General features: G+C 42.6%; 1 protein-coding gene across 3 annotated transcripts in view, besides 1 other annotated feature; it reads right to left on the minus strand.

The window, feature by feature from the left end:
- Positions 1-14,598, minus strand: part of KCNK10 (potassium two pore domain channel subfamily K member 10) — a 146,805-nt gene that overhangs the window by 28,118 nt on the left and 104,089 nt on the right. The window lies entirely within an intron of this gene.
- Positions 11,054-11,269: a silencer, noted in NCBI's record as "fragment chr14:88685623-88685838 (GRCh37/hg19 assembly coordinates)". NCBI's record gives its function as "represses an EF-1alpha promoter that drives an FKBP-Casp9 reporter gene in an ReSE screen in K562 erythroleukemia cells {active_cell/tissue: K562}" and the evidence as "EXISTENCE:reporter gene assay evidence [ECO:0000049][PMID:32094911]".

Genomic DNA, 14,598 nt, shown 5'->3' on the forward strand with positions numbered 1-14,598 from the left:
ACATGATCATTTTTTAAAAATAGAAAGGAGAAGAGAAGCAAATGTGTGCTCATCTTCTAGACAGGGGACAATACCATCAACTCTTAAACTCTTCCAATAGTGGCTCACGGAAGCAGGTGTCACATATTTATACAGCCATCTGTACAGGTCCTCTTCTTCCTCTTCCTTGGGGAAAAGGTTGATAAGCCTCCAAAGGGTAGATAAAAGAGAGAGACACCTAATATAAATACAGAATTAAAGGGCTCAGGACAATTGAGGCTTTCTGAAGAGCAGCAGAGTCAAGAAGCATACAGCAATGTCAGGAAAAGGATGCCAGAAAGAAAGTGGTAATAACATTGCAAGAATACCATATGGCATTTACATGTCATGTACTGCATTTTAAATGTTGATACTTGCTTTTTTTTTGTTAGCTCTGGTGCCAACTCTGTTATAGTACACAGCAAAATTTATTTTTTAAAAAAAATCACATGGAAGTTCTCTGTAATCTATTTTCAAATTGTAGATAAATTCCCTTTTATTTTAACCACATGATATCTATTCCTGATTCTAATTGCTCAAGCTAATCTGCAAAATAGTTTAGAATGAGAAGGGACAGTCCTGACAACTGAGACGAGATGCCCGATACACCCATTTGTGACTACTCGGGAGTGAGAGGGGACCTGGGGGTGGGGAGTGGATAGGTAGACAAACAAATATTAATAATAATAATTTAGTATCAGTTCTTTCAAGCATTCCCCAGGCTCGTATAGAAAGACTGCAGATGTTGTTCATGGTGAAATTCACTTCTGCCAAGGAACGGAACAAATAATGGAGGAAACATCACTCAATCTGAGAGGGGAAATGATGTAATAATACAGTATCTAAACAGAAGAGACAGTGTTTGAGCTCAGTAAAACCCATCTTCCGAGGATCCCTTGTTGGTATTTGAAGGGCCAGGCTTCTTTTCGGAGGAAACTTTAGTCTTCCTTTAGGATCTTTTAGTAACACTTTGATGCATTTTTATAAAAATACAAACTGGCCCTTGTTTTCAAGATCTGGTAAGAGCACGGGCAAGCTGAGAGGCAGTCAGCATGTAGCTAAAATAAATTCTCACTCATTCTTGGATTTTTTCTTCTTTTTTTACTAGAATCTGCGTATGTGGTAAGATCACATGAGCACATCTGCGTGAACACTTGCAGCCAGTGAAGTGTGGCCGACGACGAAGAAGACAACCTGCCTCCTTCACGCAGACCGAATGGCAACGGCATCCCCTGGGGGAGCCCCAGAGGAGCCGACGAACCTGCCGTCTGCACTCTTGCTTGTGCTGTTTGCCTTTCGAAAGGGCTCGCTGCATCGCGGCCAGTGCATCTTCTCCTCCCAAGGCCATGCTTGATGGCTGAGGTCCCGTCCCAGATACAGACCCTGTTGCCCATGGGTTTCTTTCTCTCTGTCGCTACCCTTTCTGGGGCCCCCTCCACTTCTCCAGCCCCACCCACCTCCATGCCCATTTCCAGGAAGGGTAGGACAGAGGGCAGCATCAGCAAGCATCTCTTCATTTGTGAAGCTTACACATCCTGGGTGCTTGGAAAAAGACCTGGTTCGTGTCTCTCTCCTCTCTAATCAATTCACAATCAATAAATATTTACTGAACACCTCCAAAGCACTTAGCACTGAGCAGGTCCTACAGGGATACAGGCCAATAAAGGCACAGTAACATTTAGCTTTAAGCCCCTATGCTTTACTTGAGCAGAACAATCCATTGGCAAGACAAGGCAGGTGCTTGTGTGATGTGAAATATACAAGCTAGACTTAACAAGTCCCTCTCTGGGCTCCCATAGCTAACAGTGTTCTACAATAATAGTGAATAGCATTGATTGAGGCTATGTGGCAGACACTGCTCTCAAGTGTCAACTAAGTGCCAAAACAGACAGGAACCATTATTATCCTCATTTTTTCAAATAAGAAAACTGAGGCACAGCCTGAGGTCACATAGCTGATAAGAAGTAGACATAGCATGGATCATTCACCCAAGGTGGTGTGACTTCAGAGCCTGCCTGCCCTAGCCCTGGTATCATTCTGCACAATATTATGGACACTGGTCTTGATGCATGGCTGTTTTCTCCTTAAGAGAAAGGACTATCCCTTGTTTATTGCCACATATCCCTATAGTGTTGAGAACACACACAAAAAAGTGTTATTCGATAATTGTTTATCAAGTTGACCTAGCGAGGAGCATGAAGGAACAGCCACAGTGAAGAACAGAAAAGTGAATCATGATTGGGTGAATAAAAGGATTTCAGAGTAGAAAAAAGGTCTGGTGGAAACTGGATGTCATCCGTATGCAGAGGCCCTAGTCGGCCTGGCACTGAGCCACCCGTCCTCCCACCAGCTCTGCGCACAGGGCCCAAGCTGACGAGTAGGAAGGAAAGACTCACAGGGACACAGCTGTAGGTTAGGGCAGGGAGGGAGACAGGGAAGGTGCAAGAGGGAAGCAAGGCTAACGGCACAGCCTCTCCACTTAGTCCCCAGAGTGATAGAACAGCAGCTATGGGAGCAGCCAGGACTTAGAGGCAGTCAGACAGCAATTTACCAAACGCTGTCATTTGGGCCTATAAAAGTTAAAGGAAAAAAAAAAAAAAACAGAAAAAAGCAAGTGTTGGTGAGGAAGTGGAAAGACAGAATCCCTGGGCATTGTTGGTGGGAATGTGAAATGGTGCAGCCACTGTAGAAAACAGTGTCACGGTTCCTCAGAAAAATTAAATCTGTAATTATATGTGACTCAGCAATTCCACTGCTGGGTATATGTCCAAAATAATTAAAAACAGGGACTTGAATAGATGTTTATACACCCATGTTCATAGCAGCATTATTCATAACAACCAAAAAGTGGAAACAGCCCAAAAGTCCATCAACAGATAAACAAATAGGCAAAATGTGGTATATACAGACAGGGGGATATTACTCAGCCTTGAAAGGAAGGAAATTCTGACACATGTGCAATATTCATGAAGCCTTAAAGACACTGTGCTAAGTGAAATAGGCCAGACACAAAAGGACAAACACTATATGACTCCATTGACATGAGGTTCCCGGAGTGGTGAAATTCATAGACACAGAAAGTAGAATGGTGGTCACCAGGAGCTGGGGGAGAGGAAATGAGCAGTTATTATTGAACAGACTCAGAGTTGTCATTTGGGAAGATGGAAAAGTTCTGGAGATGATGGTAGTGATGGTTGCACAACAATGTGAATGTACTTAATGCCACTGAACTGTACACTTAAAAACAGGATGGTAAATTTTATGTTGTGCACACTTTAACACAATTAAAAAAAGGCATAAAGAAAATCTTGAAGCAGGCTCTAAAGTATCCTACCAACTCCTGGGAGTAACTTAGAGGAAAAGAAAACTTCTGGCCAGGCGCGGTGGCTCACGGCTGTAATCCCAGTGCTTTGGGAGGCCGAGGCAGGTGGATCATGAGGTCAGAAGTTTGAGACCAGCCTGGACAAAATGGTGAAACCCCGTCTCTACTAAAAATACAAAAATTAGCCAGGCGCAGTGGCAGGTGCCTGTAATCCCAGCTACTTGGGAGGCTGAGGCAGGAGAATTGCTTGAACCTGAGAGGCAGAGGTTGCAGTGAGCCGAGATCGTGCCATTGCAGTCAAGCCTGGCAACAGAGCTAGACTTCATCTCAAAAAAAAAAAAAAAAAATCTTTGTAACAATGACTATGGCCAGGATGAAAATGTTAAATCCACAGAAAAAAGAAAGCCCAGAATGTCATGGAAATTGATGCTAACTTGAAAGACCAGTGATCTCAACTTTTGAGTATGGCACTCCCTTCTGAAGGTTAAAAATATCCTTGATCCCCACACAACAATAGAACTTTTGGTACTAACTGATAGTGAGAATATATATATATATATATATATCGAGAGAGAGAGAGAGAGAAAGAGAGAGGCCGGGCATGGTGGCTTATGCCTATAATCCCCACACTTTGGGAGGCCAAGGCGGGCAGATCACTTGAGGTCAGGAGTTCAAGACCAGCCTGACCAACATGGAGAAACCCCATCACTACTAAAAATACAGAATTAGCTGGGCATGGTGACACATGCCTGTAGTCCCAGCGATACAGGAGGCTGAGGCAGAAGAATCACTTGAACCCGGGAGGCAGAGGTTGCGGTGAGCCAAGATCGCACCATTGCACTCCAGCCTGGGCAACAAGAGCAAAACTCCATCTCAAAAAAAGAAAAAAAAAAGATACTATAGATACTATGAATTCGGGAGTCACCCTTTAAAATGAACTGAAATGAATCATTGATGACAACCCCTCTACACACATTTGGAAAAGGGCAGCACACATGTTAAGGAGACATATTGTTTATTCTGTCCACTGGCAATGCTTGAAACACAAAAGGATTCACTGATCCTTTAAAACGACACCTCAGGCTCCTAGGGGTCCACCACCTATAGGATGAGAACTACAGCTATCTATGAGCAGGAGCCTAAAACTCAGCAGTAAACTTCCAAGACATAGTGCAAAACCATTAGGTCAAAACTTATGATGCACAAATGCAGCTCCTCTCAGAAAATACAAAGCAATGCATTCTCCCCCAGAAATACAAAGTGCACTTCTAACAGGAATGCACATTTCCTGGGCTGGATTCAGTTCAGGAGAGTGCAGTTTGTTGGCAGCCCTTCACTATGCAAAGCCATCAGAGCCTGCTCAGCATGGGGCTGCACATGCTTGTCACACTGTCACCTCCCAGGGGAGCTGGCTCTTTGGGGTGTGATGGTTCAGAACACTGGCACACCTTTCAATAATGATGTGTATTCTAAACATTTTCCCTTCCCTAAGGCAAAAAGTCATAAAGCTATCTAGAAAGTATCAATGACTACTGACATGCCAGTCATCTAAAACTTATCCTACAGTGAACACATAGATCACACACCCAGCTCCGTGATGAGCACACTCAATTCAATAAGGGCACCTCTCAATTTTCAGGAACCTAATTTGTTAGAAGCTACACCAAAGTAGGTCATTGCTTGCTTGGCTCACAGAAGTAACATGAGGCTAAATGTAAAAAGAAAAAAAAAATTACGATAATTTTTTAAAAAGTTCTCTATAAGAAGAGAGCAAAGAATTAATATTTTATTAAATCAGTGCATTCCAGAGGAACCAAACTAACCTGTGAAAATTGGTGATAAAGCATGAACATAGGAAATCATTCACCTATTATGCTGATTTTATAATACTAGTAAAAATGTGATTGCTAATAGAATTCTTGCATTAAATTCATAACTCAAAAGCACCTGGAATCTTTAAATACAGTTTACCATGTTGTAGACCTAAAGCATCACTAGACTTTCACTAGCCCCAAAATGCAAAAATATAAAACCTTTTATTAATACTTAATGAAACCCCTGGGATTCTAAGAAGTGATTATCTCTTCAATGAGAAAGACCTCACTGATAATGAATACCCATAAAATTTTCTAGATAGTTTCCTCTATCAGAGATGTTTTAAGAGTTTCAGAAGCCTTAGGGAAAACCAGCCAAATCTGAAAGATATGAGGAAAGAGCTAAAATGGCTCTTAAAAGGAAGAGATATTTAATACTACTTGACATAGCAGACCTTGAGTTTAGGACTGAGTTAAATCCCCAGTGGGAATTAAAATCTTGGTGGTGATGGTCTCAAACTCTATGCTCTTTTTATTTTACTTTATTATTATTATTATTATTATTATTATTATTATTGAGACAGAGTTTCACTCGTGTTGCCCAGGCTGGAGTGCAGTGGTGTGATCTTGGCTCACTGCAACCTCCGCCTCCCAGGTTCAAGTGATTCTCCTGCCTCAGCCTCCCAAGTAGCTGGGATTACAGGCATGCACCACCACACCTGGCTAATTTTGTATTTTTAGTAGAGATGGGGTTTCTCCATGTTGATCAGGCTGGTCTTGAACTCCTGACCTCAGGTGATCCGCCCACCTCAGCCTCCCAAAGTGCTGGGATTACAGGCTTGAGTCACCACACCAAGCCACTCTATGCTCTTAAAACCATCGAAGCAGAGCATTGAGGCATTCTGATGAGCCCAGAAAAAGAAGAATGCTTTGGAGGACAAGGCCAGCTATCTCAGGGCACCAAGAGGCTTGGCTTTGAGCTGTGCATTTCCTCCTGTTTTTAACATTAAGCAGGTTGTACAAAGTAGAGCAGTGGATGGAAGAACAGAGTGGGGACTATCTTTGCCTGGCAACTGCTCTCGCAGAGGTGGGTCAAAACAAGTCAGCTATTGGTACAGTATAGGCCCCTCTTTTATTAGGTTGGTACAAAAGTAATTGTGGTTTTTGACATTACTTTTAATGTCCTATAGTGATACCAGAATATAAACCCATCTTTGTATTAGTCACATAGCAGCAGACATGAGCAAGGGGACACCTAAATCTTAGATTAACCTCCAAGAAAAGAGAACACAAAGAAAGAGATATTAACTAATAATGAGCTGGTATTAGGGAACTAAAGCAGATACATAAAGAACCAGAGGCTATGATGCAATTCAACACACTGAGAGAGAGCATGAAGTCAGAAAACTAAAATCCTTTTAAAGCAGATGAAGACAGGCCCAATATCTTTCTCTCAACTAGCCATTTTTATCTGTCCCCAGGTCTTACTAAACCTTTTGTGAAGGCTCCTCTGAGCCATCAGATGCTATGCCTACATTGCAAGAGAAAGAAGAAAGGGCATATAGTGGAATGACTAAGTCTATTCATGCACTCTGGGGCAGGGAGACCAAGTTTGGAAGTCTAGTTCTGTCATTTATGGGCTGTGTGACCTTGGACAAGTCACAGAACCAGTCTAAGCATTCCAAACTCATATAATTAAGAAACAATAATGATCTCTTTGGCAGGGTAACTTACTGTACAGCTTACTCTAGGTAAAGCCCAGATAGCCCAGTATCTGGCATAATAAACCCTCAAAACAGATTAGCGACTCTATTAGTCCATTCTCACACTGCTATGAAGAAATACTCGAGACTGGGTAATTTATAAAGAAAAGGGGTTTAATTGACTCACAGTTCCGCATGGCCGAGGAAGCCTCAGGAAACTTACAATCATGGTGGAAGGCACCTATTCACAGGATGGCAGGAGAGAGAACGAGTGTCAAGCAAAGGGGTTAAAGCCCCTTATAAAACCATCAGGTCTCATGAGAACTCACTATCACAAGAGCAGCATGGGAATAATCTCCCCCATGATTCAATTACCTCCCACTGGGTCCCTCCCACAACACATGAGGATTATGGGAACTACAGTTCAGATGAGATTTGTGTGGGGACACAGCCAAACCATATCAGTGACTTATATCTAGGCTTTGGTATCACAGTGCCATAATACTCAGTATTATCTCAACAAAATCCTCTCAGACAAATGACCGATCCAAGGCTCCCTACAAAGGTTCTGGCATGCAGATGTTCATGAATAACTTCCCACCCCAAAGTAACAATCAGATTCCCAGAAGTTACCTGTGATCAAAGCTTGCCGGGGGGAAAAGAGAGAGAGAGAGACAGAGAGACAGAGAGAGACTCTGTTAAAGCTACCTGGAAAATGTTTAAATGATAAACGCTATCCAGGCAGTATTTTAAGTAGTTCTATTTTAGGCAATGTTTGATATCTTTACTGTGCATAGAAAAGAGTGAAGATGCACTTTAAAGGCCATTAAAACGTTCTATAATGACCTCAGAAGACAACAGGAAACACCAAAGGGATACTGGCCAGTTATGAAAGGTAAGCCAAGAAAGAAGAACCATACATTAGATAAGTCCCTATGGGTCAGTTAAAGTTAGTGCTGAGATGGTTTGCCTAGTGAAGAATAATAGCAGAACAATTTGTCATTATGTGTACTCATCAGAGTCAAGTCTCCAGGCATTTTTGCTTTCTTGGTGAGAAATGATCTCATTCCCGGAGTATAAAATCTGCAAAGCCCTCTTTAAGGACCCATCTGAAGGAGGAGAGTTCTGAGTCGGAATGGCGCTAGCACTGAAAAACTGATTAGGATCATTGGTGGAGGCACCAGAGCTCGTGTGGAAGATTTGGACAGGGGACCAGGGCATGCACCTGGTAGTCTTTGGGGCAATTGTCCCCTTATATCCCAGTATAGCTATGGTCAAATTAACTAGGGCGATTTTGCCCCTGAGGACACATTTAGTAATGTCTGGAGACATTTTGGCTGTCATAACTGCGGGCAGTGATGATGCTGGCATCAAGCGAGTAGAGGCCCAGGGATGCTGCTACACATCTCACAATTCACAGGACAACTCCTATGACAAAGAATTATCCAGACCAAAATGTCAATAGTATCGAGGCTGAGCAATCCTATGTTAAATGAAGGGAGGAAAGAAGGAGCCGTCCATGGAAAAACTGTCATGGACTGTCATTAAGAAATGTTGTGTAGTCTGTTTTGTGGATGTCATATATGTAGGTCACCCCAAATGTACATTCTGGCCCTATCATTAAAGCTACAGAAAATCCTTAAACTAATTTGGAACAGACTTGATTGATAAAGCTTTAAAATTATTTGCATTTTCAAATAATTACTTCCTACCTTCTTGCCGCCTAGGAAAAGGAAGAAAGCAATTGTTTACATTAAAACCAGGGCCTTCTCTCTGATAAAAATAAACTCACGGCAGGGCGTGGTGGCTCATGCCTGTAATCCCGGCAGTTTGGGAGGCCAAGGTGGGCAGATCACGAGGTAAGGAGTTCGAGACCAGCCTGGCCAATATGGTGAAACCTCGTCTCTACTAAAAATATACAAAAATTAGCCAGGCATGGTGGCACGCGCCTGTAGCCGCAGCTACTCAGGAGGCTGAGGCAGGAGAGTCGCTTGAACCCAAGAGGCGGAGGTTGCAGTGAGGCGAGATCATGCTACTGCCCTCCAGCCTGGGCAACAGAGTGAGACTCCGTCTCAATAAATAAATAAATAAACTCACATTATTATGTAACATTAATCCTACTGAGTTAGTTGTTAGGAACTTATAATATGGTATGTACTAGGGCAGGCATGACATAGAAGCAGATACTCCAGAGACATATGGGCACTGGTAAACTGAAGTTCACTGATATTGTGTCTTTTCTACACTACTGAAAGGCAGCCATTTCTTAAACTAAAGCCACAGCCTACCACTCTGCCCTCCTCCCCTGCCTCTTTGGGTGCAATGCTGATGTGCACAGCCAAGACCCTTGAACATTTTCATTACCAATAGGTATTGGAAACTGTAGCTGAACCTACAATGCTGAAAATAATACCCAGTTTCCAAAACAGGGATTTTGATCTGTTTGAAATAATAATTTTTATTTTTTTATTTTACTTAAAAATATTTTTAGAGACAGGGCCTCATTCTGTTGCCCAAACTAGAGTACAGTGATGTGATCCTAGCTTACTGCAGTGTCAACCTCCTAGACTCAAGCAATCCTCATTCCTCAGCCTCCTGAGTGTCTAGGACTATAGGCACTTACCACCTCACCCAAGTAATTTGAATCTTTTTTTTTTTGAGACAGAGTTTCACTCTGTCACCCAGGCTGGAGTGCAGTGACACAATCTCAGCTCACTGCAACCTCTGCCTCCCCGGTTCAAGTGATTCTCCTGCCTCAGCCTCCCGAGTAGCTAGAACTATAAGCACACACCACCATGCCAGGCTAATTTTTGTATTTTTAGTAGGAACAGGGTTTCATCATGTTGGCCAGGCTGGTCTCAAACTGCTGACCTCAAGTGATCTGCCTGCCTCTGCCTCCCAAAGTGCTGGGATTACAGGCATGAGCCACCACGCCCGGCTCGATTTTCTTTTTTTTTTCAGAGATGGGGTCTCACTATGTTGCCCAGGCTGGTCTTGAACTCCCGGGCTCAAGTAATCCTTCTGTCTTGGCCTCCCAAAGAGCTGTGATTACAGACGTGGACCACTGCGCCTGCCTCTTGAAATAGTAATTATTTTAAGTTAACCCTTTTGCTGCTGAATGCTAGCTCAAAGATGCCTTGGGAGAAACAGAAGCTTCCTGCCAATTGTGTTCTTAAAAGCCTCTCCTTGATCCATGCCAGGCACATGGCAGAGGCCTGCAGGAGTCTTTGGCTTCCGCCACATGCCCCTTCCTGGAATCTAAAGTGGTTGATCAGTCCACTAATTTAACCGTATTAGCACTTTGAGATTGTCATCACTTCCATCTTAAACATGTGGCCTGTTCTAAATTTTCCAAGTAATTTTGGCACTCGTAAGTCTAGGGTAATGTTTTATTATTTGTCAGTGACACCCAGAATCATTTGGATCCATAAGCAAATAAACATTTCTGCCATATCCTTGGGGCGGGGGGAAAGCCAAAAAAAGAAAAAGAAAAAAAAAAAAAGGTGTCCCTTGGTTTTACAGGAAATACCAGAAAGCCTGCTGATCCGAGCCGGAAAAAAAGAAGCAGGTACTTCCTACCAGAGGCCAAAGTCCAGCTTGGAGCCAAGAAAATGAGAATCAGTCCAGAATTTGACTGGTTTTCCTACAGCATCCTATCAAGTGATAATCAGCCTGGCCCAGCAAGACAGCTACCCCACAGCAGGGGAGAAAGAGGCCGCCTGCTTCCAAAACCTGCTTCAGAATCCAATGTCAGCCCTCCTTCATCCCAAATAAGCAGATATTTGGGATGCTAACTGCCCAGATATTTCCCTGGGAACTCAGGAAGAATTATTTTTACTTTAATTAGTATGGTATACTAAAATATTCTAAACTCCACATTGGTTTCATGGTGTAGATTAATCTGACATTAATATTTTCAGCCCATCTGGAAGAGGTTAAGGCAGGATTAGTGGTTCTAATCCAGGTCCTACCACCAATTCACTGTGTGGATCCAGGCAAGTCACCTCACAGGCTCCATTTTCTCAGGTGTGAAATCTATGAGTCTCACAATAGTAGTATTCCCCCCGAAGAGTGATGCACAAACGACCTGGAACTAAATTCCTGAAAGGCTGGTCACCCTAGAGTGGGACCCAGGAGTGCATCTTAGAGCATATGAACATGACTATACCAGTGCGCAACAATTTTACCATCCACTACTATTCTTGGAGATAAAAGAATGCATTCCAAACCCCCTTTGCAGCTACGAATGGGACCTGGTAACTAGCTCGGGCCAATGGGCTCTACCTGAGGGACAACGCTCTGAAGAGCCAGCAAGCAGCGCTCAGCTGTTTCCCCCACCCTATCTAGCCCCTGAGCCTGAGAAGCTGCCTGGGTTGCAGCAGATCTGGCAGGAGTGGGAGTAGGCTGTTTGTGATAGGCTAGCTTATCTTGATTGATTCAAGGATCCCAACAGCCACCTAATTTATGACAAGGAAGAGTGAAGACATCTTCTCTATGAGTGATCTCAGTGGCTAGCAGTTAATTGACATCTATGTGAGACGTTATCATTTGCTTACTCCAACTTCTTCGCTAACAGAATTCTAATTTTGTTCATCACAGCAATGTGTTCAGCCCCAAGAGATGAAACATGATTCCTCTGCTCCTTAAGCATTGGAATCACTTGGACAGCTTGGTAAACACAGATTGCTGAGCTCCAGCCCCACCGCCCCCACCACGACCACAAATAATTTTCATTTCTAACAAGTTTCCAGTGGATGCCGATGCCGATGGTCCAAGGGATACTGATGCCTAAGGTTGAGGGACCAAACTTTGAGAATCACTGGTCCATTATGGCAATACTATCGTCCTTTGTCCGATACTTCCTTTCCTATCCTCCCTTGCAGATGCTAATGTGATCTCATTCTGGTCAATGAGACAGAAGGGGAAATCTACAGGGTAACTTCTGGGAAAGATTTTTCTTCCATAAAAGGAGCTGATGTCAACACAATATTGAAAAAGAAGAAAAAAATTGGAGGACTGACACTAACTGGCTTTAAGAATTACTATAGAGCGTGGCCGGGCGCGGTGGCTCACGCCTGTAATCCCAGCACTTTGGGAGGCCGAGGCGGGCGGATCACGAGGTCAGAAGATCGAGACCATCCCGGCTAAAACGGTGAAACCCCGTCTCTACTAAAAATACAAAAAATTAGCCGGGCGTAGTGGCGGGCGCCTGTAGTCCCAGCTACTTGGGAGGCTGAGGCAGGAGAATGGCGTGAACCCGGGAGGCGGAGCTTGCAGTGAGCCGAGATCGTGCCACTGCACTCCAGCCTGGGCGACAGAGCGAGACTCCGTCTCAAAAAAAAAAAAAAAAAAAAAAAAAAAAAAAAAAAAAAATTACTATAGAGCGAAAGTAATCAAGACAGTATGATATTGGAGAAAGAATAGACAAATAGGTCAATGAACTAGAATAGAGAGCCCAAAATAGAACCACATAAATATAGTCAACTTACCTTTGACAAAGGAGCAAAGGCGACAACATGGAGAAAAAAAAAAAGGTCTTTTCAACAAATGGCACAGGAACAACTGAACATACACATGCAAAAAATATGGCTGCAGACACAAAGCTCACACCCTTCACAAAAATCAACTTAAAAGTGATCACATACCTACATGTAAAATGCAAAAGTATAAAACTCCTAGAAGGTAACATAGGAAGAAATCTACATGACCTTGAGTATGCCAATTACTTTTTAGATACAACAAACACATGCTCCATGAAAGAAATAGTTGATAAGCTGGACTTCATTAAAATTAAAACCTCTGCTCTGTTAAAGACACTATCAAGAGAATGAAAAGATAACCCACAGATTGGGAGAAAATATTTGCAAAGGATATACTAGATAAAAAATGCAAAGGATATACTTGATAAAGGAATATAATTCAAAATATATAAAATATGGCCAGGCACAGTGGCTCATGCCTGTAATCCCAGCACTCTGGGAGACCGAGGCAGGTGGATCACCTGAGGTCAGGAGTTCAAGACCAGCTTGGCCAACAAAGTGAAACCCCATCTCTACTAAAAATACAAAAATTAGCCAGGCATGGTGGTGCATGCCTGTAATCCCAGCTACTTGGGAGGCTGAGGCAGAAGAATCACTTGAACCTGGGAGGCAGAGGTTGCAGTGAGCCAAGATCATACCACTGCACTCCAGCCTGGGTGACAGAGTGAGACTCTGTCTCAATAATAATAATAATAATAATAATAATACATTACACATTATACATTAAATCTCAACAATAAAGAAACAAATAGCTCAATTAAAAAATAGGCCAAAGACTTTAACAGACACTTCACCAAAGAAGATATACAGATGGCAAGTAAGCATCTGAAAAGATGCTCCACATTATACATCATCAGAGAAATGCAAATTAAAGCAAGATACCACTACACACTTAGAATTGAGAAAATTCAGAACACCGACAACAGCAAATGCTGATGAGGATGTGGAGCAACAGGAACTGTCATTCATTGCTGGTGGAAGTACAAAATTGTATAGCCACTTTGGAAGACAGTGTGGCAATTTCTTATACACCTAAGCATATTCTTACCATCCAATCCAGTCATCACACATCTTTGTATTTAACTAAAGGAGTTGAAAACTAATGTTCAACCAAAAAACCTGTGCACAGAGGTTTATATCAGCTTTATTCGTAATTACCAAAACTTAGAAGCAAACAAGATGTCCTTCAGTAGGTGAATGGATACATAAACTATGGTACACCCAGAAAATGGAATATTATTCACCACCCAGCAGAAATGGACTACAAGCCATGAAAAGACATAGAGGAAACTTTTATCCATATTTAAGTGAAATAAGCCAGTCTGAAAAGGCTACATACAGTATGATTGCAACTACACAACTGTATAAGTCCGTTTTCACGCTGCTGATAAAGACATATCTGAAACTGGGAACAAAAAGAGGCTTAATTGGACTTACAGTTCCACATGGCTGGGGAGGCCTCAGAGTCATGGTGGGAGGTGAAAGGTATTTCTTACATGGTGGCAGCAAGAGAAAAATGAGGAAGAAGCAAAAGCAGAAACCCCTGATAAGCCTATCAAATCTCGTGAGGCTTATTCACTATCATGAGAATAGCACAGGAAAGACTGGCCCCCATGATTCAACTACCTCCCCCTGGGTCCCTCCCACAACACATGGGAATTCTGGGAGATATAAGTTGAGATTTGGGTGGGGACACAGCCAAACCATATTAATGACATTCTGGAAAAGACAAAACTAATAAAAACATGAGTCATTGTCAAAGGTTAGGAGAACGGGATTGATGAACAAGCAGGGTACAGAGGATTTTTAGGAGAGTGAAATACTATGTATGATACTATAATGGTAGACGCATGTCATTATAAATTTGTCCAAATTCATAGACTCTACAACACCAAGAGTGAACCCTAATGTAAACTATGGACTCTAGGTGATAATGATGCATCAATGTAGGTTCATAAATTGTAACAAATGTACCAGTCTGGTGCGGGATGTTGATAATGAGGGAGACTGCACATGTGTGTAGGGGCAAGGGGATATGGGATATCTCTGTATCTTCCCCTCCATTTTGCTGTGAATATGCAACTGCTCTAAAAAAAGATAAATTTTAAGGGAGTTCCTTTTGTATTTCCTGATATGAGGTTGGGTGAAAACGTGCTATTTGGTCATGAAGCAGCCATCTTGCAATGTGAGTGACAAGTCTG

Source organism: Homo sapiens, chromosome 14, assembly GCF_000001405.40.
Source record: "Homo sapiens chromosome 14, GRCh38.p14 Primary Assembly".
In the NCBI taxonomy this organism is placed as follows: Eukaryota; Metazoa; Chordata; class Mammalia; order Primates; family Hominidae; genus Homo; species Homo sapiens.